This window comes from Homo sapiens, chromosome 8 (assembly GCF_000001405.40).
Source record: "Homo sapiens chromosome 8, GRCh38.p14 Primary Assembly".
Classification (NCBI taxonomy): domain Eukaryota; kingdom Metazoa; phylum Chordata; class Mammalia; order Primates; family Hominidae; genus Homo; species Homo sapiens.
In genome coordinates, this window is record NC_000008.11 from 11,447,356 (window position 1) to 11,470,810 (window position 23,455).

The following is a 23,455-nucleotide window of genomic DNA, read 5'->3' on the forward strand; positions in this document are numbered from 1 at the left end:
TATTTTTAGTAGAGACAAGGTTTCACCACCTTGGCCAGGCTGGTCTGGAACTGCTGACCTCAGGTGAAGGCCTGCATAGACCATGTCAGGACCATCTGGTGGCACGGGCATTAGCCCCTGTGAACTGTGACCAGCTAGTGATGGTCCTCAGATCTGCTGAGCTTGGTGAAGTGCAGAAAACACAGTGTGCACATCTGCCCATGTGAGCCCCAAAGTAGCCCCCAGAGGCAGGCGGGATCACCCCATTTCACCAAGGAGAAATCGAGGCTAGGGCAGGTGAAGTGCCTCACCTCCTGGTCACAGGCAGGTGCCAGCAGCTGGACCTGGGCACAGTCATTTGACTCTGTCTCAGCCTCTTTCTACTCTGGAGAGTGTGGGCTCTGGGTTAGAGCTCCAGGGCAGCCATTGGCTTTGTGACGCTGGCACATTGCTTCATGACCACTCTGGGCCTCTGTGTCCTCTTCTGAGAAATGAGAACAACCGGAACGACTACATAATTCACAAGGCTCAGTATGAAACGAAGATGCGGGGCTCCTTGTTTAAAAAGTTCTAAGAATTGGCCGGGCGCCGTGGCTCATATCTGTAATCCCAGCACTTTGGGAGGCCGAGGCGGGTGGATCACGAGGTCAAGAGTTCAAGACCAGCCTGACCAACATAGTGAAACCCCGTCTCTACTAAAAATACAAAAATTAGCTGGGCGTAGTGGCGCACGCCTGTAATCCCAGCTACTTGGGAGACTGGGGCAGGAGAATCGCTTGAAACCAGGAGGCAGAGGTTGCAGTGAGCCAAGATCGCACTACTGCATTCCAGCCTGGGCGACAGGGCGAGACTCTGTCTTAAAAAAAAAAAAAAAAAAAGTTCTAAGAATTTCAAGACAGGGACAGCAGAGCATGAACCCACACGAGGGGCCCTGTGCCACTGCCCACAGCCATGAGGCTAGTTCTGGGGATAATAACATCTACCTCGTAAGTCCTAATCAGGGATTCAATAAGGTTACAAATGTGAGCTCTCAGCACACTGCCTGGTCTACAGGAAGCCCTAGACATAGTCATGTAGCCTTAGTCATGGTTTTTAAAATGTCATTATTAAGATGACATAACCTATCAGAGTTATATCACCGTCACATGACAGATCATGACCCTCCAACTGCACTGAGCAGACACTCTGTTGGTCTCTGACCTGCTGGGTGGCCCAAGACAATCCCTGCCCCCTCACATCCTTCCCTGGACACCAAACGACACGAAGTCAGTTGATCCCACCTCCCCCAGATTTTCAGGTCTCAAAACTTAGTGGAGTCTGTTCTGCCATAGAAGGGAGAGAACAGCTCCACTTACTAAAACCATTCCATGCCTGCTCCCTTCCCTCTCTGCTCACATTGTGAATGCCCCGCCCACGGCTCGGGGTGTTGGAGAGACTCCACCCTGTGCTCTCTGCATGGCAGACCAAGGCCAGGCCCCAGAAGCCTGGTTTCTGGTCCCAGCACTGCTGACAAGCCGAGCACCCAGGCTCAGTCCTTTCCTCGTGGCCTCAGTTCCCTAATCTGTGCAATGGCTGAGGATCTATGGAACCTGGTATGTGAGAGCTCTCTTTAAACTGTAAAGAGCTGTACCCACCTGAATAGGCGTGTGTGCAATGTGGAGAGGCCTGAGTTGGGGAGTCACTATTTTAGAGCAGGTGGTCACCCGTAGCTGGCAGGAACGGGATTGCCCCCAGCACAGCCAGATGGTGAGGAGCTGCTGCAGGAATGGGATTGCCCCCAGCACAGTCAGACCGCGAGGAGTTGCTCAAGCAGCATGTGTTTTCCTGGTCGTCAGTGTTTGGGGAGCACTGTCCCCCTGGGTGCCCTGGTGCCTGAACAAGCCCAAAGGGGTTTCTTCCCTCCCACTAGGCACAGGAGCTCAGCTGGAATGTCACCCACACAGGCGCAGGGACGTGACAGCAGAAAAGCTTGTCACTGCTCACTGGGCACTGAGCTGGACCCGGCCTGAGCCGGCAGAGAGGTGCTGGCCGGGTGCCGGGGAACAGATGCCAGCACTGGGCAGCTTCCTGGGCTGGAAAAGCAGTGGAGGCCTCCCCTCGCTTGACAAACCAGGGACTCCTGGGGCCCAGGCCCCGGGAGGAAGAGCCCCCCAACACTCTAAACAAACGGGCTTTCTTTACATGTAACCTGGGTCGTTCCTAGGGGTGGAGGGGCCGGAGAAGGAAGCCAAAGGACGCTGCCAGACCTGGGACCTAGGGTGTCTAGAAAAACGACATCAGACCCTGTAATCCCACCAGGCCCAGGCACGCCCCGCCAGGCAGGCCACCCAGCAGCAGTGGGGACAAGCCCTTGGGGGGGCGCGTCAGCCTTTCTGCAGCTCTGTGTGCCAGTGCCGAGGACCCATGCCACACACAGAGACTGCTGTTCCAACAAGCTCCCTGGCTCCCAGGCCCACAGCGGCTCCTTGGAGGAGCCTTCGCCAACCATGAGCTAACTCCTCTGGCTGCTGGAGGAGCCAGGTGGGGGCAGCTCAGCCAACACCTTGTCTCATTATGACCTAATCTGTTCACCTGGAAAACGGTCACATCCACTTCCTCGATGGGCTCCCAAGGGCAGGGGAAGACGCAGGCACTGCTGACCCATCCCCTCCACACCTCCTCTCACCACGCGCTCCTGCTGTTCCTTCCAGCCTCGCATTCTCCACTAGAACCCTTTCGTTTCTTCTCCATAAGACACAATCTTTCCAACCCCGACCCAGCACTCCTGTCCCGCCGGACACCATGCTCTTTCACACCCCTGACTCGGCACAAGCTTTCCTCCAGCCTGGAAAGCCCTTCACTCCCTTCTGTGCCTTAGTTCAGTTCTCAGGGATTTTCTCCTGGGGGAAGTTTTGCTTGATTTGCCCAGGCTGGGCTGTGTGTACCCAGGACAACCCGAGCACATCAGAGAAACAATTATGTCATCGCAACATTAGCTAATGCTTACAGCACACCACACGAGCTGTGGTGCTAAAAGCTTTACATGTATTAACACATTTAATCCTCACAACAGCCCTATGAATCTGGGGTATCATCATCCCCATTTTACAGATGAAGAGACTGAGGCATAGACAGGTTCGGGACCTTGCCTGAAGCCACAGAGCTTATAAGTGGTGAAGCTGGGATTTGAACCTCTGCAGTCTAGCTCTGAGCTGGCCCCTAACCACTGGGCTTACTGCCCCTCTTAAGCCACAGCACTTACACCCAGGGCCTTTGTCAATGGTCGCCTCTAGCAGACTCTCAACTTCAGGACGAGAACCAAGCCTTTTATGCTGGACCCTCCAGTACTTAGCACAATGCTGCTCTCTTTAAATGCTGTGGAATGAATGAGCCAATAAAACAGATTTCCTCCCACTCACAGCGACCTGTCCTTGCTCAAATCTGAGCCAGCCTGGATGGGCTCAGAGAGGCAGAAAAAGACACCCAGGCTTCCTGGGATGGTGCCTCCCCTCCTGTCCCCACGGATGCCACCCACCCTGCCTGCCCTGACCACAAGTGTCCAGACATAGGTGTGCAGGCTCTGGGCCTGCAGTGGGACAAAGACAGGAACAGCTGCAGCTCATCCCAAATCCCAGGACTATGTGCTGGAGTTGGAGGGGACAGTCTGATGTGACAGACCTAGCTTGAGGGCCTCCTTGGAGTCCAGTGCAGGATGAGGTCATTTCCATCCAGCAGCTTCCTCCCTCTTCTGGAAAGTGCATCCCCCTTTCCCACAGGAGCCCATCCCTGGGGTTTCCTTTCTCCTGGGGCGTGGGGAGACACAGGATGAAGTTTTGGTGTCAGAACCACTCAGAGGCCAGCCTTGCTCTGAGCTGGCCGGGGCCGCTGGGGCCACCATGCTCAGCACATGTGGGGAAAGGGTCTAACTGGAGAGCAAAGCCAAGCCGACAGTGTGGCAGCTTGGCCATCACAGCCCAGTGGCAAGGAGCTGGGGGCCCGCAGCTGGGCCCCGTGGGAAGCCACCCGCCCTGCCCAGGTTACACAGCGTATACCTTCCGCCTTTTTTGCTTCAGCTACTTGGAGATGGGGTTTCTGACATTCGTAAGTGACTGACACAGCACGCACTGGAGAAGGAATATTAAAGAGCACAGTGGATGCTTGCTGCTATTTGTCTTTCGTTGGACTGTGTGTCTGTTTGCCATATCCAACACCCTCTCCTTTCCTGTGTGGAGGGAGCTCCCCATTTTGTGCAGAACAGCAGGCAGGCCGTGCAGCCTTCTCTGCAACCAGAGGACCACGTGCTCCTCTTCCCAGCTCATGCCCTGGTGACCAGGTGTGAGCATGTGACCTGAGCTTGGCCAGTCAGCTGTTCAGGCCCCGACTCTGAATTGGGTGCGTGTGAGTCTCAGAGGAAGGGATGGTTAGGGCGCATCTGTGAACCAACCCTGGAGGCAAATGTGAAGTGCAGGGGCGGTGGCATCCTCTTAGCCAAATTGTCTCTGCTGAAGGACTGGCCCGGGATCTCCTGCCTCTGCCTTCTGGATCTGCCCTGGTTCTGCCTGTTTTCTGGTCTTTACCTCCTGCCAATTCTGTGGGCACCTGACAGCCTTACAATAATGTCATTTTCTCTTGCTCACAACCAAGAGCTGTAACTGAAATGAGACAGGAAGCACAACTCATTTGGTGAGGAAAATATACAACTGAGAGCAAACCAGTGTCATAAAATGTCATGACAATCCAAAAGGCTCCCTCTGCCACCATTCCACGTGTCCCTTGGTGGTGGGGGGCAGGGAGGGGGTGCTGTGCGACCTCCCATTGAGAACCACAGGGTGGATGGTCACTGTCCTCCTAATGAAATCTTACTGAGTCTGTCCACATGCAGAGTTGACTTGTCTCCTAACTCACAATCCATGACAGGCTATGCTTGATGAGGACAGAATGACAATTTCGCATATGAGTGAATTTATCCTTGCTCTGCTCCTCTGGCAGAAACGCCGCCCATGGTTCCCTGTGCAAAATGGATACATGCTGGGTCATGAGACCAGCCCAGCTGGGCTACAGCCGGACATCAGGGCAAACAACTGAAGGGCCGAGAAGTCTGGTGAGCTGTGCTCTTTTGGGAGTGGTGCCTCTGGGCTGTTTCAGGACTGTGACAGTCCCCAGAGGGAGAGGGGGTGAGCAGAGGCAGAAAGAGCATGAAGGAGTGAGCCTGTGGCTGCATCTGTCTCCCACAGGCTGCTGCTTCCTCCACCTGCAGCTCCCTCCCTTCTCATCATCAGCCTCCACCCCACGAGGTTGCCTCGGGTCTGTTTCTGCAGCCTGAAAGAGGTGCACTAACCCTATTCAAATCCCCATTTTACAGGTGAGGAAACAGATAACTTTTCTCATGAAACCGAAGCCCAAGCTCCCATAAACAGACGTGACGGCCTGAGATCCTGGCCCAGAAAAAAGGGTGCTTTATTTAGCATCTATGAATGCTGGGGGAATGTGCAGGCACGTTCCCCAGTGCCAGCACGGGCTGAGCAATGGTAGGTCTCCTCAGAGTTCACCGAGCATCAGCACACACATTCGGGCCTCACGTCCTTCTGACTTCACGCAGGAGAAAGTGGAGGCCACAGAGGCTGGCTGGTTCCCAGAACACAGATCTGCTGCAGGAAAGCTGGGGTGATCTCCCCCCTCTGTCCCCTTCATCACGGCTGCCCCCATTCCCCTGCACTCCTGACCCCTCAGCCTGAGCCTGGGGACTTGGACGCTGTCCCCTTCTCCACAAAGCTCCCTCCTCCAGGCTTCCTCTCCTCTGTCCTGCTGCCGGTTATCCTTCTAAAATGCAACTCGAATCCTGCCCCTTAATAACTTTCCTACTAAGTAACTTTGTTATTGAGATGAGGTCTCACTGTTGCCCAGGCTGGAGCGCAAGTGGTACAATCACAGCTCACTGCAGCCTCAGACTCCTGGGGTCAACTGATCTCCTGCCTCAGCCTCCCAAGTAGCTGGAACTGCAGGCATGTGCCACCATGCCTGACTCTAAATAACATTTTAGTAACACTGTCAAGCTGCTAATATGTATGAAGCACTCAATATGTGCCAGGCACTATAAGGAGATAGCACCTCACTTATTTGCATGAGAATCTTGTGAAGTATGCACTATGATTGTCCCATTACACAGATGAAGAGACCGAGGCACAGAGATGATAAGGCACGGGCCCAGTGGCACTCAGACTGTACCTGGCAGGGCAAGGACTGAAACCAGCAGATGCACAGCTCCCTGTGGAGGTGGAGGGGAGGGCTGCAGCAGGAGCCAGGAAGGCTGAGCTGGGGACCAGGACCGGGTCAGAGGCTCTGTGACCCTCCCCATGGTCTACTCAAACAGAACAAAGCAAGAGTGTCCTCTGGGAATCAAGTTGCCCCCCGAGATAGCCAGCTCTGTCTTGGTTCTGTGCTGTCCTATGACGCTGGCCACTCCACAGCAGAACCACCTTCACTGAGTTTATGGAGCACGTCTACACCGCAGCACATAAACACTGCAGGGAAGGCTGGGTCTTCTTACCCCATCATGCAGCAAACCGAGGTGGCAGCCTATGTGACCAGCCTAAGGCCCGGGGCTCCTCAGTGACAGCCCAGAGCCTACTGCCCACACTCCTTGGGGTTGCTGTGCCATCTTCTAGAACCTACTATCTGGCAGGACTAGCTATCACGCGTGTGGAAAGCTTTCCATCTGCAGGTATAACTGGGTTCTCCCAGAAATTTCTGGAAGGAAGAATTAGCTACACTGTGACTTAGGGCCCTGCAGGATCCTCAGCAGGGCAGGTCTTGGGGGATGGGATGTCTTTAGTGCCGGCCTCACCTTCTTGACCCCGACACCGTCTGGGTTGCCCATGGCTCTGCTGCCAAAGCCAGGGTGGGCTTGGCTGGAGAGCGGAGGCCCACGTGTGTGTGCAAAGCGCTCTGTTTCCTCTGCTGAGCCTGCTGTGTGTGTCACCAAGCCTAAAACTCCACATCAGAGAGACTCGTGGCTTCACTCAAGGACAGCATCTCCTGATTCCTCCGTCAACACCTGTCTGGTGCAGGGGTGGCAGGAAGAGGCATCTCCACTCTACCTTGCCCTGATGTTGCGGTTTCAGCCAGGCCAGGCCCATCAGTAGAGGGCACAGCCCTGATTTCAACCGGAGACAAAGGCAGGGGCCATGAGCTGGGACCTGCGGTGGCTTCAGAGGCCAGAGAACAGTGAGGCCAGCCCCACAGCCAAGGGAGTGCAGAGGCTCTAAGGGGTTTCATACACAGAAAATTCAGGGTGGTGCAGGGCAAAGCTCATGCCTGCATCTTTTCCTTTTGTTTTCTGAAAAGGCAAATCCCTTTGTTCTGGGTGAGTAAGAGGTTAGGAGGTCTGGGACATGGCTCCACAGTCGGCCTAGGGAGGCGAGCCTGGGGTGTGCAGGCTTTTCTGCCCGGGTTTAATCAGAAACCCAACACTTATCTCACCCAGAGGACCAGACAGGACTGGGCTGGCCTCTGGCTGGGCTCAGCACTGACCAGGTGGCAGCCGAGAGGACAGGGACACAGCCCTGGGCCCCACAGAGCTGCTGCCGGGAGCCAGGCTGCCCTAGTGGTCCCCTCCTCCTCCGGGGTTGCCATGGCAACTGAGCAGGAGGGACCCTGCTGTCTAGCCCTGGCGCTCATCTCTTGCCTTTCCAGCCTCATCTGCATTCCAAGCCTTGGTCAGAGCCGGTGTCAGGAGCCCTGACATGGAGATGACATCCTGCCGAGACCTGACCCCGGCCCCAGTGCTGCACGTGGCAGGGATGGGTTGCTGGGATATGTGTGTGTGCGTGTGTGTGTGTGTGACTGTGGTGGGGTTGTTGCCTTGCTGAGTGTGGGTGGTGGTTGCCTTGCTCTGTGTGTGTGTGTGACTGTGGTGGGGTTGTTGCCTTGCTGTGTGAGTGTGGGTGGTGGTTGCCTTGCTCTGTGTGTGTCTGGGGGGGGTGGTTACCCTCCTGGGTGTGTGTGAGTGTGGGGGGTGGTTGCCTTGCTGTGTATGAGTGTGAGGAGTGTGAGTGTGGGATGGTTGCCTTGCGTGAGTGTGATTGTGAGTGTGGGGGGTGGCTGCTCTGCTGGGTGTGTGTGAGTGTGGGGGGTGGCTGCTCTGCTGGGTATGTGTGAGTGTGGGGAGTGGTTGCCCTGATGGGTGTGTGAGTGTGAGTGTGTGGGGTGGTTGCCCTGCTGGGTGTGTGAGTCTGAGTGTGGGGGGTGGTTGCCTTGCTTTGAGTTTGAGTGTGGGATGGTTGCCTCACCTGAGTGTGAGTGTGCAGGGTGGTTGCTCTGCTGGGTGTGAGTGTTGGGGGTGGTTGCCTTGCTGTGTGTGAATGTGAGTGTGGGTGTGGGGGATGGTTGCTCTGCGGGGTGTATGAGTGTGTGAGTGTCGGGGGTGGTTGCCTTGCTGTGCATGAGTGTGAGTGTATTGGGGGTGGTTGCCCTGCTGGGGTTGTGTGAGTGTTGGGTGGTTGCCTTGCTGTGTATGAGTGTGAGTGTGAGGGTTGGTTGCCTTATGGGTATGAGTGTGAGTGTGGGGTGGTTGCCTTGCAGAGTGTGAGTGTGAGTGTGAGGGGTGGTTGCCCTGCTGGGTGTGCGTGAATGTGGGGTGGTTGCCTTGCTGTGAGTGAGTGTGGGGGGTGGTTGCCTTCTGGGTATGAGTGGGAGTGTAGGGTGGTTGCCCTGCTGGGTATGAGTGTGAGTGTGGGGTGGTTGCCTTGCTGTGTGTGAGTGTGAGTGTGGGAGGTGGTTGCCTTGCTGTGTGTGTGTGTGAATGTGGGAGGTGGTTGCCTTGCTGTGTGTGTGTGTGAATGTGGGGGGTGGTTGCCTTGCTGTGTGTGTGTGTGAATGTGGGGGGTGGTTGCCTTGCTGTGTGAGTGTGAGTGAGTGTGGGGGGTGGTTGCCTTGCTGTGTGTGTGAGTGTAAGGGTTGGTTGCCTTGTGGGTATCAGTGTGAGTGTGAGGTGGTTGCCCTGCTGGGTGTGTATGGGTGTGAGTGTGGGGTGGTTGCCCTGCTGGGTGTGTGTGTGGGGTGGTTGCCCTGCCTGGTGTGTGTGTGAGTGTGGGGGGTGGTTGCCTTGCTGGGTGTATGAGTGTGTGAGTGTGGGTACTTGCCCTGCTGTATGTGTGAGTGCTTGGGGGGTGGTTGCCCTGATGGGTGTGTGAGTGTGAGTGTGGGGGCTGGCTGCCCTGCTGGGTGTGTGAGTGTGAGTGTGGGGGGTGGTTGCATTGCTGGGTGGATGAGTGTGAGAGTGTGGGTAGCTGCCCTGCTAGGTGTGTGAATATACGAGTGTGAGGTGGTTGCTCTATTGGGTGTGTGCTCTGGGTATGGCTAGGGCTGAGTTAGTGACATGTGCAGAGCTGTTAGGGATGTAGGTGTGGCTGGGTAAGAGACATGGGCGGGGCTGGGTGAAGGACGTGGGTGGTGCTGGATTAGGGGAGTGCGGCTGGCTAAGGGAAGTGAGTGGGGCTGGGTTAGGGACGTGGGTGGGGCTGGGTTAGGGAAGTGGGCAGGGCTGAGTTAGGGAAGTGAGTTGGGCCCTGGGTTAGGGAAATGGGGGGATTGGGTTCGGGAAGTGGGTGGGGCTGGATTAGGGGTATGAGCGGGGCTGGGTTAGGGAAGTGGGCGGGGCTGGGTTAGGGATGTAGGTGGGGCTGGGTTAGGGAAGTGGGCGGGGCTGGGTTAGGGGTATGGGCGGGGCTGGGTTAAGGAAGTGGGTGGGGCTGGGTTGGGGAAGTGGGCGGGGCTGGGTTGGGGAAATGGGCGGGGCTGGGTTGGGGAAGTGGGCGGGGCTGGGTTAGGGGTGTGGGTGGGATCAGGGCTCCACAGGACAGCGCTCCTGGGGTTTTCTCCAAGCACCCCTGTGGTCTACCCTGCCGGGTAAGCATTCCCTCTGGCACATGTCCAGCCAGGACAGCACTAGCCTTCCCCCTTCCTGGAAGCCTCCTGTTTGCTGCCGGGGTTTCCCCTCCCTGCTGCACACCCTTGTGAGAACTCGGCAGTCTCTTCTGAAGGACATTGATGCTGTGCCACAATGTCATATGCTGGCTGCTTCATGCCTGGTTCTGCTTGAACCTCATCTCCACGCAAACCCCAGCCTGGGCCACAGGATGGAGCCCAGCGCTCGCCTTCCTGGTGCTTCCGGAGCTCATCACTTACTCCGTGATGTTTGTTGGTGTCTGTGTGTCCCACCCTTGAGGATGCCAGCTCCTAGCAGGCAGGGGCTTCCGAATTCTGTTCCTGACTGTGACCCCGGCACTCAGAGCAGTGCCCGGCACACAGCGGGTGCTCAGGAAACTTGCTGAGTAAGAGAGTGGGTACATGAATGAATGAAGAGGACTTTCTGGGCAGTCCATCTGGCCCTTTGTCCTTGTCTTTGGCCCTCACTGGCGAGCTAGGCCCTGCACTGCCTGAAAGCTCATCCGAGGGCTCGCCTCCTCCCTGAAGCCCTCTCACACTCCCCACCTTCCAGGCCACCTTTCTCTGAATTCTCCAGTCACTTGCTTTCCTCATGCTGACTGCACACTGGCCCGCATGACCTTGAACTGTGGGAGTCTGTGGTCCTGTCTTCCTGACCAGACATCAGCTCCTTGAGGGGCAGGACACTGCTGCACCTTTTGTGTCCCGAGCACAGGGCCCTGTAAACAGCAGATGTTCAGTGTGTGCTGATGACGCTGATGCGGTGAAGTCAGCGAACAAAGTCCAGCCAGAGTCGTTCACAGCTCCAGATGACATCTCCCCAGCAGACCTCCCACAGCTTCATGGGTAAGACTTTCAAAGTCAGAATGCTTCTGGTGGCTGAGTCATCTTTCTTGAGTTGAGATGGGGTGGTTTGGGATGCTGGTCTCAACTTTATGTCTCATCCTTCCGCGATAGCCTTATGTTTGAATTTGACTCAGTCTTCAAGCCTGGATCAAACAGCACCTCACTCGACAGTCTTTTGTGCTCTTCCGAATGGAGCTGATGGCTTCCTCCCTTCACACTTGGATCTGAGCACTTTCCTGCCCACTCTCAGTGCAGCAGTGCACCTGCTGGATGGTTTTACTGAGTCACATTTCTGATGTGCCTCTCGGGTGAACAGATCTATCTTTTTCCAGCATCCCTTCTGTGGGCATCACTCCTGTCTAATTTCAGGTGGTTCTGAAGGGACCATGAGTCACAGCACCTGCCCATCACCCCTGCCCCAGGAACACTCACGACACCTAGAAAGAGACGTTCATTTTAGCCCTTACTCTGGCAATAGTGACTGGGCCTGGGGATGTGCAATGGGCCACAAAAGACCAATCAGAATATTTTCATGGGATTTAAACACAGACACTTGGAGAAATAGGGTATTTTCATCAGGAGCAGCTCAGCTGGGAGGATATAAGCTTGGAGTTTCCAGAGTCTGGAGAAAGCCCGTCTGTAGTAAAAAGGGAATAAGCCTGAGGTAAGGCGAACTAAGGGAAAAAAAAAACAGAAAGAGAGAGAAAGAGAGAGCATCCTGACATCTTCTGAGCCCTTAGGCCCAGCAGAACCTAAAGAGCTGAACTTCCCAGTGAAATGCACCAGAAGATTCTCTTGCCATCAAGAGAGGCTGGAACGGCACTGCCCACACTAGCCTGGGCTTCAGGAGGGCGAATTCGCCCCCAGTTCTTCCCCCTGCTGCTCATGGCCACCTGCTGGGTATAACCAGTACAACTTCAACACATACTTTCTGATAATAAAATAAACGCATGAATGACTACTTTTCTCTCTATCACCCATTTCTCTATTTCTCATTTATACAGAAATAAATGAAAATTGTTAGAAGGAGGAGGAAAAGAGGAGACCTTTTTTATTGTGCCAGGCACTGTGCAATATCTAGTTTAGCCCTTGAAATGACCCTGAGGCATGACTGGTATTATCTAGTGTCTCGTATTATCTCTACTGCAGGCAAGGAAACCACAGTTCACAAGCAGGTCAGGGAAGGAACCACCATTCCAGCTCAAGTCTCCCCAACTCCACCATTGTGACCATCTTTCAGGTGGCTCCATTTGCACAGAAGTAACAGGCATGTGAGCTTTATAGTACTTACAAGTCCAGTGTTCCTAGAAACCTCAGGGGCAAATAACACTGAAATATTCCCAAGGCAATGCTTTGTTTTTCTGTAAAATTGTTCTGGGCAGAAGAGGAAGAAGAGACCGAGCGCCTCGGTCTGCAGTGCCAAGCACGTGGGTGCTGTGAGTACAGCTGCTGTGGCAGGAGGGCCTCTTTCCGGGGCTGGGGTCTTAGTCCTTGGGCAGGGCTGGGCAGTGAGGGGACCTCAGCCTAAGGGAAGTTCTGCCATTAACAACCTGTGACGCTGGACAAGTCACACGACTCTTTGGAATTCAACTGGAACAGGGATTCATTTCATTTCTTTTCTTTTTTTGAGACAGAGTTTTGCTCTTCTCACCCAGGCTGGAATGCAGCGGCACGACCTCGGCTTACTGCAAACTCTGCTTCCCAAGGTTCAAGTGATTCTCCTGCCTCAGCCTCCTGAGTAGCTGGGATTACAGGCACCCACCACCACACCCACCACCACACCTGGCTAATTTTTGTATTTTTAGTAGAGACGGGGTTTCACCATATTGGCCAGGCTGGTCTTGAACTCCTGACATCAGGTGATCTGCCTGCCTCGGCCTCCCAAAGTGCTGCGATTACAGGCGTGAGCCACCGCACCAGGCCAGGGACTCATTTCATTTGTCTGCTTGTTTTGGTTGATGGAGGTGGCTCCTGGGCCAGTCCCAGGGACAGCTGTGATGCTGGGGCCACCAGTGTGAGAGGATGGGTACATGGCATGAAACCCACTACAGGGCTCTGGGAGGGGCAGGCGCCCTAGTGGGCTGCACCCGTAGATTGCCCTAACACTCCGGCTTTAGGCAGCCCTCGGTGCCTCCTGCCTGGGGTCCCAGCATTGCCGATGGGAGCGGGAGAAACATTTTGGACAGAGCCAGCCTGGTGTGGAAGAGAAAAGAGTTCCCGACCTGGGAGTCAGCTACTGGGGTCCCATCCCACCCTAAGCCATTGGTTTGGGTGTGATGACCTCCGTGCCCTCTTCCACCCTGACACATGCAGAGTCAGCCCACAGCAGCAGGTAGTGGGACCACCATGTCATGGAGCCACCCCCACGGGGCCAGGGAGTAGAGGCGCCGACTCGCCCACGTTTCCCTGGGGACTGTCTCCCAGCAGAGCCCGGTTTGCAGTGTCCTATGCTAATGGTTGCACTTCAGCTCAGGATAGAAGCTTCCGTTTCCACACCTGGTGCAACAAGAGCAACCACATGCATTTTTTAATCACACTGCATTTGCAAATTTTTTTCCCCACACACACAATGACCTGGGCTAGGGAGGCCTTCCTAAGAATTATACCACAGAGAACTGCACACCAGAGCCATCGAAAGAACTGCCCCAGGTCCCACAGCTCCATGAGTGGCGCTGGCTGCGCTTGCACCCAAGTCTTCTGACTCCGAGTTGAACCCTGCATCTATTGTCTAGGAAACAGGGAAACCTTGCTTGTCTCGCTGGGACATTATGAGAAAAGAATCTATAAAAATACTTAAGACCTTTGCAAATTCAAAGTGCTGGGTCCATGCTGAATAATTGATGGGCTCAGGCTGCTTCAAGCTGACGCACAGTCCTCCTGCAGGAAGGCTGGGAGCGCGGAAACCTTCCTTTTCATTTAGCCCGGTGAAAGAGGCTGCTGAGAAAATTGCCAAGAAATACTGCTTCCCTGTTGGTCAGAAAGAGGCCCTGGCTCCTGGGAGCCACAGATCTAATTTATGGGCTCCCTGCAAGGCGGGGAGAAAGCCCAGGGCCACTGCAGGGAGAGGGGCTCTTGGGACGCCCAGTCGCTGGTGTGTCCCTTCCAAGGCTGCGGGGCTCTGGGAAAGGGCGGCCCTGGCAGGCAGGAAGAGGTGCCTGAGAATCTGACAGTTTGGAGGAGATGGGGAGGGGGAAAGTAGCCATGGGAAAAAAAGAGAAGGATGTGGTTTTCCTCCCGGGAAACGCTCGACAAGGCAGGGATGCCCAGACGGGCTAAGGCAGCCTGCTGCCGCCCCGCCAACCGCCACATGAGACCCAGGGCTTTTCTGGCCAAAGGCCATGGTGGCAGTGGGGATTAGAGGGCAGAAAGTAGACACAGAGTGGCCTTTAAAGCAATCTGCAGAGATGAAAGCAGAATGCAGCGCAGGCCGGTACCCTGGCTATACAAACAGGAAACACTTCCCAGCTGGCTGAAACTCAGACACCAGGGCACAGCTAAGGACACGGGGGATGTGTGCCCTCCCCTGTGGCTTCAGCCCACCAGAGTGGCTCCTAACCAGCTGGCATTGGCCTCAGCCTCCAAACAAGGCAGATCTAGGACTATTTGAATCCACAGGATAATTGGCTCCAAGTTGAAAATAGGCAGAATCAACAAACGCCAGCTCAAGGGGGGATTTGTCCAGATGATCTGATTTCTATTTTACTCTGCAGCACAAGTTCCAAAGCCCAGAGTTTCTAAAAGGCTTCGTAAGGCCTTTCACGGTGTTCCCTGTGCTTATGCCAACTGGGCACCTCCACGTTCGGGCTGGGGGTCCTGACCTCTCAGGGGCTAGAAGGGTCCTTAGGGTTTCCTGGTGTTTGGACGCAGTGGGGTCCCAGTGTGGCCTCAGCCTGGCTTGGACTGCCCAGTGCAGCCTGTAAGTGGCTGCAGGTGCAGCGCTGTGCCTGCACTGGGGTTTGGCAGGGACATATGGCCTGAGTGCCCGCAGGCAGGGCAGAAAATGGGATGTGTGACTTTGCTTCCCTGCCGTGTCAGCTTGCGCTGGAGGTACTTGGCTGCTGAAGCCTCCCGGGTTCACACCTCGCAGAGGAAAGGAATCAGGAGCAGGAGAAAGGGATGGAGCAAGTTAGAACAGGGCAGAGCCGGGTGTCGGGGGACGTGGGTTGGTTGACAGCCAGCCTGCCACTTACTAGTTCTATGACCTTGATCAACAGATTCAACCCTCCTAGGCCTAGGTTCCACATCCATGAAACAGGATTGTAATGGATCGTACCTCACAGTCTTGGAAGGACCAAATGAGATCAAGTTTACGTGAATTTTTAGTTACACCTCTAATACGACTGTCACCTCCTGCTCTTGACTGTGCTTGGCTGTCACTCTCCTTGGTCCATCGAATTGGGAAATGGCTCCTGCACTGCGAAAGTTAACTGAAGCGTGCAGAACAGCATTTTACTGTGAGCTCAGGACTCTACTGCATCAGCAACCTCGCCAGACTGCACGCTCCCTGAGGGCACGGCCTTCACCTTCTGCTTCCTTGGTAGGGTGGTGCATTTGGATCCTAAACTCCTTTGCAGAGATGGTGGGCTGTTCTGTGTGGTTTCATTATGCCAGCTACAACCTAGATGTATTCAAATCAGCAACGCCCACCCCTACCCCACTCGCAGCCACTGCCTCGAAGCAGAAAGCATCTGCTCCAGAGGCAGCAGGGACAGGCACTTCAGCGTCTTTATCTCTGGTCAGCATTGGGCATTTGATGATTAGCAAAGTAAATATTAGAAATGCGTTCTCATTGGTAAAGACAGAGGTATTCAAGATGTGTGGGTTGGCTAAATGAATTCAGAGACACTCTTGACTCAGGAAAGAGCAGGTAAAAGAATCCATGAGAGCTCCAGGGAGGTGTGGTCAGGGCAGCAGAGAGCAGATTGCTGGGCTTCACCGAGCCCACAGGACAGGCTGTATGGACTCCGCTGGACTTGTTTCAGGTAAATATTTGTCCAAAAATGTGTACGTCTGGCAGAATTTGCTCTGAGGCTGCTTTCATTCAAACTTGATAATGAGGCTGGCTTCACCTTCCTCCAAGTTTTCAGTGGCTGCTATCAAACAAATAAACAAAATAGCAGCAGCCACACAACCAAATTTGGGAAGTGCCTTTGTGACTGGAGGGACTTAGGTCAGTTCACGCCTGGCATGGGACTTCCAGGGCGAAGTGCGTGGAGCTGATCACAAGACTAGGGAGGTAGTGTCACTTTCAACTTGATGGTGGACAGTGGGGGCCAGGTCCCTAAGGCAAAGACCCTCATCCAGAACCTTCCTGGGTGGCCACCACCCTAAGCATGAGCCTGCTGACCTAGGGGCTGCTGTGCCCAGCCAGCTCGCAGAGGCTCCGCTGGCTTCCTGGAATGAGGAAACACTGCCCAGCCTTCGAGAAGGCCTGGAACTGTAGCCAGTGCACAAGTCACTGCCTAGGCTCTTTCCATACCTGCCACTGGACCTGGAAAATGGGGTCTGACCTGGGCCTGTCCCTCTAGGGATGCCCAAGGGACAAGCCCTGCGAGGGAGCCCTTGGGCATCTACTGCCAGCTTCCACCTTTGGATCAGGATGCCCTGGAGGGAACTTCCGGCCACACTGAAGAAATGGGGGCTTGGTCCATGCCCCCAGTGGGAGAAGGTGAACCCTCATCCTCTTCAGGTTTCTGCAAAGGCCGCTGGGGAGGAGGATCACACTTATGGGCACCCGAGGGACCTTCTGGAAATTCCTCAGTGAAGAGAGCTTTGTGGTGGGGGAGCAAAGCCACCCCCCACTATAGATGACAACTTGGGGGGAGCTACTATGTGCTTGCTAAGGCCACGTGGCAGGGCCCTGGCATGGAGAGGAGCCTGACGCTAGACAGCTGCTGCTAGAGAAGAGAGGCCCCCTTGACGGCTGTGCCCACAGGGAGACTGGGCTACTGCTCAGCAAAGTCCTCTCGAGAGTGGCTGATGGATGAGATTTGATGCTGCCTGGCAGAGATGAGCAGGCAGGCAGTGTGCAGAAGGAAAGGGGGTGAGGTGGGAGCAGCCCCCCTTGAACTGCTCTGCTCACCTTCTTTCTCCATGCTTGTCCTTCCTCTCCAACACTTCTCCAGAGAGAAGTGGTAGGGGTCAGGGTGGGGAAGAGTTGGCCTTTAATGGACAGGGCAACGGTCCTAACCAGGGAAAAGCTGAGACCTGCGGCCTACCTGACTCATCCTGGCAACACGGCCCTCGGTGGCAGCTCAGACTCTACAGGTGATTGCAGAGCCAGTGAGGCTCACCTGCCGCCCCTCCTAAACTCTTTTCCCACCCTGTCCCATCCTTCCTGCTCCCCACCTCCCCCTGCCCACCATGTAGCCCATCCTCAGCCCCTCAAGGTCTGTTTCAGTCTGTGCTTTTCCTTCCTGTCTCCACATGGCAATCCAAGTCTCGGGGTGCATTTGCACAGTAACAGCCAGCCAGGCTAATCCTAAGGGATTTCCAGTTAGTGGCACGTGCGTGCTCTCCCACCCCTGGTCTGGAAACCAGGAGCAAAGTGCTCAGTTACTCATTTTCCGCCTTTGCAAGCAGCTCAAGTCCCTTGGGAAAGCACAGCTCCCAAAGGGTTCTGGGAATACCGGGGCTCCTGTAGGGCCAACGGGGCTTTCTGTGAGCAAGATTTGCCTAGAGAACACAGCAGCCAGGGTGTGAGAAGCCTAGCAAGTAGTTTCTTCCTCATTGGCCTGGGGCTCTGTGGCTCTCTCTCAGCAAATAGTTAGGCATGGCCTTAATTTATTTCCCTGCCAGAGTTCCTCCTGGAGGGGGGCCAAGCTAGTAGACAGGAAGGCGGGGACTGGCAATTTAGTAGAAATCCATGCATGTAATTGCGAGGACCAGAAGAACAGGAGCAAGTGCGCAGGGAGTCTGGGGGCTCTGGGCAGGCAAGGAGGAGAACAGGGTGTGGGGGAGCAACCCTTTCTTCTGCTTCAGGTGGGAAGAATTGAGGCCGGCCAGGCCCAACAACACAGCCTTGCAAGCTCCTAATAGAAGAAATGGCTTTCCTGGCTCCACAGGGTTCCTCAAGCAGGCAGGGGACCTTCTCAGGTCATAAGATGAGCCCCACGACACAGTTCTCATTTCATCTGGGCGTGAGTGGTTTCTGCCCCTCTCTGGGCCTTAGATGCCTCAGATTTCCCAAAGCAGCCTTCGTCTGAGAGCACTGTCCCGGGAGTCAGGCACGTGAGGCTGACTCTCTGCTCTCTCACCAGGTGTGGGAGCCACACCAGGTCACTCAATTTCTTAGAGTCCCATTGGCAAAACGGATAATAGAGTCTCCTTGAAGACTGATGGGGAGGATGGAGTGACCAAGGGATGCGAAGGGTTTCTAAGTAGTGCATGGTCCATAAATGCACTCAAGAAAGAAGAGCTGTCATCTTTATCCATTCCAAGCACAGCCCATGGCTGCTTTCCAAGCTCCTTAAAAACACGCTGCAGAAGTTCCTATCCTGCCAACGCCCTCAGGCAACAGGCGCCACAGCACCTCTGCTTTCCCAAGACTTTGTCCACGCTCTCCACGCTCCATCCCGAGCTTAGTGAGGGGCAGGACTGTGTCTACTGTGTCAGTGGGAAGCTGCTTTGGAGCATGTGCCCCTTGGTGAAAACCCTGTGGATAGGACGTGATCTCATCTTCTGGGATTCTCCAGCAATGACGGGGAGTTTGTGGAAACTTGACTTGGGAGAACCTGCTTGCAGGCATACGGCAGTGGCCAGCCCCCAACCTAGAGTCAACCCTCCTTCCAGATCTTCCCAGGAGGTCCCAGTCCTCAGAATTCCCTCCAAGCCCCGCCGGGAATAAAAACCAGGCAGTAACGGGTGTGCAGAAAACCTATACATCCAACCTAACTTGGCTGAAGAAGACACCCTCCCCCCCGCCGTCTGTGCTCCGGTGTCTCGGTGACTCAGGGTGCCCACCTTCACGGCTGACCTGCTCATTCCCGGGGGCCCCTGCGGCTGTGCCGTTCCCTCAGGTCACACTGGCTTGGGTCCTTAGAGCACCCTTGGGTCCAGGTGCCCTGGGCCACCTCCCATTAGTTAGGGACCGCATCCGTGGGGACAGAAACTTCCATCTCACTGAACCTATACACAGGAGCCAGGCTGGGCTTGGAGGTCACCAGCCGCCTGGGAGTGGACCCGGAGAGGCTGAGTGCGGCCCTCCCTCTCAGACGGCAGACCCCGAACCTCCACCCAGAATCCGAGCCCGGACACGGCCAGCAGGGAGCTAGGAGATGAAGTCCAGCCCTGGCTGCCCGGCTCCTCTGGGAGGGCAGCGAACCCGCGGGAGCGCATGAGCGGCCTCTCCCGGGGGGGCGGTAGGAGCGCGTCCCCTCCAGGGCGCTTTGGGATCGGGCTGCTCCGGGCCAGTGCTCGCGCTGGGGACCTGCGACGCCTCAGCCCCTGCCCAGACTGCGCCGCCCGCCGCGGCCACACCTCCCAGTCCCTGGGAAAGTCCCCGCCGCCGGCGCGAACCCACCTTCCGGGAGCCCAGGGGCCCTGCTGGGGACTCGCCGGTGTCCCCGCCGCCTCCTCCTGCGCGGGTCCGCGCTGCCCGGCCTCAGCTCAGGGCTCCCGCCTCGCCTCCCCGAGCTCCGGTGAATTCTCGGCGCTGCTCCTTTCGGAAAGGACTTTTTTTTTCCCCCTGCGTTGCGTCAGGGCGGTTGCCTGGCGACGGCCGAGCTCTCCGCCGCGAGCCTTTCACCGCGATCCCGGCCTCGCGTTCTCGCCCCGGGTCCGAGCGCGCCCCGGGTCCTAGCGCCCTGTCGGTTCACCGGCCCGGGCAGCCCCCGCGAGTGGAGAGGAACTACATGCCTTCGCCAAACCCCAGATGAAACCAAACCCAAACATCCATTTTCTCATTAAACCCGAAACCAAGGCAGTTTCCCCCAATTGTGGCAACGTGACTGCGCCACTGTCAGAAGTTTGTCCGCATGGAGGGCGCAGGGGGACCCCACGCCCAGGGCCTCACCCACCCCCAAACGGCAGGAGTTCATAGGACCCGCGGCCACGACTGCCCGCGAGCGCCTACCGTGGGCCACGCCCCCCAACGACCCAGCAGGGCAAGTGTAGGCATCTCTGGCTGCCAGATGAGGAAACTGAGGTGCAAAGACGCGAGCGTTTGCCCCACTAACCACAGGGTGTCTGTCCCGCCAGGGGCGCGGCATCGGCCACCTCTGGCTGTCGTTAGATTCTAAGACCCAGTCCCTGCTGCATCAGAGCCCAGAGCTGCAAACCCTAAGGCACAGGCAGGACAGCAGCCCGAGCTGCCCGGACCGCAGGTCTTCAGGACCAGTCCCAGCTTCTGACGAGGGGCCCAGGCCAGACACTGGAGGCCCCAAGGCTGGTTACTGGATGGGGGTCTCTTACCCCAGACCTCATCAAGCACCTTTCCTAGATGCCCGGGGCTGGAAGCGTCTTTCAAAGGGCTCCAGTCTGCCATTCTCACGATAGCCCTGGGCGTGCGCGCAGGCGCCGCCTACATGGCCAGACGCGAAGCTGAGTGGTGGGGCTGCAAAGTGACTGGCGCAGGCTCCAGGCAGGTGCGCGGCTGGTCGGGCCTTCTGTGGGGTCTTAGCCCCTGCAGGGGCCCGAGACACTCGTGCTGCCCTCTGGTGCCCGCGTCCTTCACTGCAACTCCGCATCCAGCCCTGACCTACTCCCTTCCTTTCTGACCTTCACTGGAAGGTCCTCTGAGGGACGTCGTCTAAGGAGACATCTTGCCAGTACAGACCTAGTCATGCTAATGAGGGAACGGTCCTAAGCTAGCGGGTGTATTAACAAGCATCTTTTGGAGAGTCACAGCCTTGATCCAGATCTTCTGATTCCAGCTCCTAAACATCACTCCTTCCTTCTTCCTGCCCGCTGCCACTGTCCCTACCCAAGCCACCAGCAGCTTGCCCTACCCAGTTCTGGGACCTGCCACCCGGGTCCAAGCGTGCACGCAGTCTCCATACTGATCTCCCTTTACCCTCTCTCAGCGCCTCCCAAGCCAGTTACTCCTCCACAAACAGGGGAAACTCTTAAGAATGGAAATCCAGTCTCAGCTGCTTCTGCTTAAAGGCCTTCAACGCCCCCAGTCCTCTGAGGATTAACAGCTAGCTTGGCTGCAGGGGCCTGGCTGGCCTCTGTCCGTCTCTAGGGCCTTGTCTTGCACAGACCCTGCTCCCCAGACAACAGACCCTCTTCCAGTCCCATTGTGCACCTGCTCCTCCCGACAGGCTGCTGCAGCTCTGCCTCCTAAGGGAACCCCAGGTTACAGGTGCTGGCAGCCCCCTGCCTTATGTCCTTCATGGACCAGTTATAATTCCAAGTTTACCTGTGAGGTTATTTGATTAGTATGTGTCTCCCTCTGAGGCAGTAGGCTCCGGAAGGGCATGAACCATGTTTGCAAGCAGGAGCCTCAATCTGGACTTGGGGATAAAGCATCCTTCTGGGTGCTGGCTGTTTCTGACCACAGCCCCGGTGCTGAGCCCTAGTTGGCTGCATTGCTCACTGGTGTGCCCATGGCCCTGGCACGTGGTGAATGCTCCAAGATCTTTTTGGATGGGCCATTCAGCCCCATCTGGAAATGCTTTGTCCCACCTCTACCTCCTGGCTCCCTGTTTGACCTATGGCTTCTATTTCTGGGAGTGCAGATGCTTTCTCATGGGGGAATTGTGGCATGCCTCAAATGGACAGGCAGCCTGTCCAAGGCAAGGGTGGTGTCTTGCCCTGTGGCTCCCATTCTGCCTGGCATTTGTCTGCGGGCAGGAGGGTAATCAGTGATGGGGACCAGGAGGAGAGTGGGCCAGAGGAAAGAGGAAGGGGAGGAGGAAGAGCAGTCTTGGTTGGAGTAGCCTCAACTCCAAAGTGAAATCATATGGAGTGGTCAAATAAATGAGTTAGCACAGAATGGTATGTAGCCATAGAAATAATATTCTCAAAAGCTATTTGATCATATAGAAAAATACTAACGATTTAACGCTAAGTAAATAAGACTGGGACACCAAATCCTGTGTACATTATGAAACTTCTCATTCCAATATCTAATTCATATGTATGCATGGAAAAAAGATTGGAAGAGTGTATGCAAATATTAGCTGTCGTTATCTCTGGGCTGCAGGATAATGGAGGATTTAAAATGTCTTCTGTAAGCCTGCATTCGTTTTCTACAATGAATCGTTTTGTAATGAGAAACATCAAGAAACACTACTCAAAAGGGAAGATGGCACTGTGTTGGTGTTTCTGATGGCACTTCCTTTTGTGTCAGGCACACTGAAACCCAGTGATGGTGGGAGGATCTGGGTGGGCCAGAGAAGGCAAGGCCACCTAGAGGTTCTCTCTTCCCTTTGATTCCTTACAGAGAAGTTTTCTTTCCGTTGGTGCATGATGCATGAGACATTGCCTCTTATAATCCTACAGGAAGCTGTGAAATAGATGAGTCAAGAAAAATGCCCAACCAGGCATGGTAGCTCACACCTGTAATCCCAGCAATTTGGGAGGCCGAGGCAGGGGGATTGCTTGAGCCCAGGAATTGGAGACCAGCCTGGGCAACATGGTGAGACCCCACTTCTACAAAAAAAAAATGAAGAAGAAGAAAGAAAACTCAGCTGGGCATGGTGGTACACACCTGAAGTCCCAGCTACTTGGGAGGCTGAGGTGGGACTGCTGGAACCCAGGAGTTGAAGGTTGCAGTCAGCCATGATTGCACCACCGCACTCCAGCCTGGGCAACAGAGCAAGACCCTGTCTCAAAAATAAATAAATAAATAAATAAATAAATAAATAAATAAATAAAAGATTTAAACTTAAAATATTCTTTCAGAATTTCTCCCAATTCGTTTATTCATCTGTTCAATAAATACGTATTAGTACCACTAAATACCAGACATTGTTCTAGGCTCTTGGGAAATGTTAGTGAACAAGTTAGATGAAGGACCTCGCCCTTGAGAACTGATAATCTAGCAGAGGAAAGCAGGCAGACGATGACCGACAAATACGCTAAGTAAATAAGCAATATTGTGAGTGATAGAAAAACAGAATTGTAGACTTGGATTGGAAGTAATGGCAGAGGAGGGGAAGAGTGTGCACGTTTTCAGGCAAGGTAGGCAGGGCTGGCCTCGCTAATAAGGTGGTTTTCTAGCAAAGATTTGAGGGAGACGATGGAGGGGGTCTTGTGGTGTCTTGGGGAAGGGTGTTCTAGGGAAAGGGTCAGTGCAGAGGCCCTGGGCCAACAAACGTGCCTGCCACAATCAGGGGCCAGCATGGATGCCTCGAGGCCAGAATGCAGCAGGCAGGGAGTAGAGCATGGGTGGGAGATGACATCAGAGACAGGGCAGGGCAGGTGCTGCGGCAGAGCCCTTGGGCCTGGCAGACCTCGTGAGGACTGGCCTTCCCCCGAGGGGAGCTCCAAATGCACAGCTGGAACCAGACTCTGCTCTCTTGTCACTCTCAGGGCACAAAGCCCTCTCTAAATCAGTCTCTCCTGATCCCTTTTGAGTCTATAAGCTACTTGAAGGCGATTCCTGGATTCTAGGGATACAAGAGAAGGAAGGATGAAATTTCTGTTGGGCTCTGTGGGACAGAGGACACTAAGGGTGGCGACATCCCTGCCCTGCTCCAGGCAGCAATGAAGACTCTCAGCCCAGGGCCAGAGTCCACCGGTCTCTGCTGTTTTCCTGTGA

The 23,455-nt window shown here is 55.3% G+C and overlaps 1 protein-coding gene across 4 annotated transcripts in view, besides 9 other annotated features; it reads right to left on the bottom strand.

Annotated features, from left to right (window-relative positions):
• Positions 1 to 23,455, bottom strand: part of FAM167A (family with sequence similarity 167 member A) — a 54,433-nt gene that overhangs the window by 25,880 nt on the left and 5,098 nt on the right. The window contains exon 1 of one of the 4 annotated variants that reach the window (XM_011543838.4): positions 20,161 to 20,186. The exons of 1 other annotated variant lie outside the window; for it this stretch is intronic. The gene's annotated coding sequence lies outside the window, so the exon portion shown is untranslated. Of the gene's footprint in view, positions 1 to 2,644; positions 2,983 to 19,270; positions 19,399 to 20,160; positions 20,187 to 23,455 lie in introns of those variants that run through there. 2 more of the 4 variants (NM_053279.3, XM_024447292.2) reach the window with 2 other exon arrangements.
• Positions 4,353 to 4,928: an enhancer, noted in NCBI's record as "H3K4me1 hESC enhancer chr8:11309217-11309792 (GRCh37/hg19 assembly coordinates)". NCBI's record gives its function as "activates a minimal SCP1, AML or CMV promoter by ChIP-STARR-seq in primed H9 embryonic stem cells {active_cell/tissue: H9 hESC(primed)}" and the evidence as "EXISTENCE:reporter gene assay evidence [ECO:0000049][PMID:30033119]".
• Positions 4,861 to 4,910: an enhancer, noted in NCBI's record as "active region_27007". NCBI's record gives its function as "activates an Ori minimal core promoter by ATAC-STARR-seq in GM12878 lymphoblastoid cells {active_cell/tissue: GM12878}" and the evidence as "EXISTENCE:reporter gene assay evidence [ECO:0000049][PMID:35858748]".
• Positions 4,929 to 5,504: an enhancer, noted in NCBI's record as "H3K4me1 hESC enhancer chr8:11309793-11310368 (GRCh37/hg19 assembly coordinates)". NCBI's record gives its function as "activates a minimal SCP1, AML or CMV promoter by ChIP-STARR-seq in primed H9 embryonic stem cells {active_cell/tissue: H9 hESC(primed)}" and the evidence as "EXISTENCE:reporter gene assay evidence [ECO:0000049][PMID:30033119]".
• Positions 5,505 to 6,080: an enhancer, noted in NCBI's record as "H3K4me1 hESC enhancer chr8:11310369-11310944 (GRCh37/hg19 assembly coordinates)". NCBI's record gives its function as "activates a minimal SCP1, AML or CMV promoter by ChIP-STARR-seq in primed H9 embryonic stem cells {active_cell/tissue: H9 hESC(primed)}" and the evidence as "EXISTENCE:reporter gene assay evidence [ECO:0000049][PMID:30033119]".
• Positions 9,453 to 9,552: a silencer, noted in NCBI's record as "silent region_18929". NCBI's record gives its function as "represses an Ori minimal core promoter by ATAC-STARR-seq in GM12878 lymphoblastoid cells {active_cell/tissue: GM12878}" and the evidence as "EXISTENCE:reporter gene assay evidence [ECO:0000049][PMID:35858748]".
• Positions 9,703 to 9,762: a silencer, noted in NCBI's record as "silent region_18930". NCBI's record gives its function as "represses an Ori minimal core promoter by ATAC-STARR-seq in GM12878 lymphoblastoid cells {active_cell/tissue: GM12878}" and the evidence as "EXISTENCE:reporter gene assay evidence [ECO:0000049][PMID:35858748]".
• Positions 10,533 to 10,782: an enhancer, noted in NCBI's record as "active region_27008". NCBI's record gives its function as "activates an Ori minimal core promoter by ATAC-STARR-seq in GM12878 lymphoblastoid cells {active_cell/tissue: GM12878}" and the evidence as "EXISTENCE:reporter gene assay evidence [ECO:0000049][PMID:35858748]".
• Positions 19,106 to 19,315: a silencer, noted in NCBI's record as "silent region_18931". NCBI's record gives its function as "represses an Ori minimal core promoter by ATAC-STARR-seq in GM12878 lymphoblastoid cells {active_cell/tissue: GM12878}" and the evidence as "EXISTENCE:reporter gene assay evidence [ECO:0000049][PMID:35858748]".
• Positions 20,561 to 21,330: an enhancer, noted in NCBI's record as "H3K4me1 hESC enhancer chr8:11325425-11326194 (GRCh37/hg19 assembly coordinates)". NCBI's record gives its function as "activates a minimal SCP1, AML or CMV promoter by ChIP-STARR-seq in naive H9 embryonic stem cells {active_cell/tissue: H9 hESC(naive)}" and the evidence as "EXISTENCE:reporter gene assay evidence [ECO:0000049][PMID:30033119]".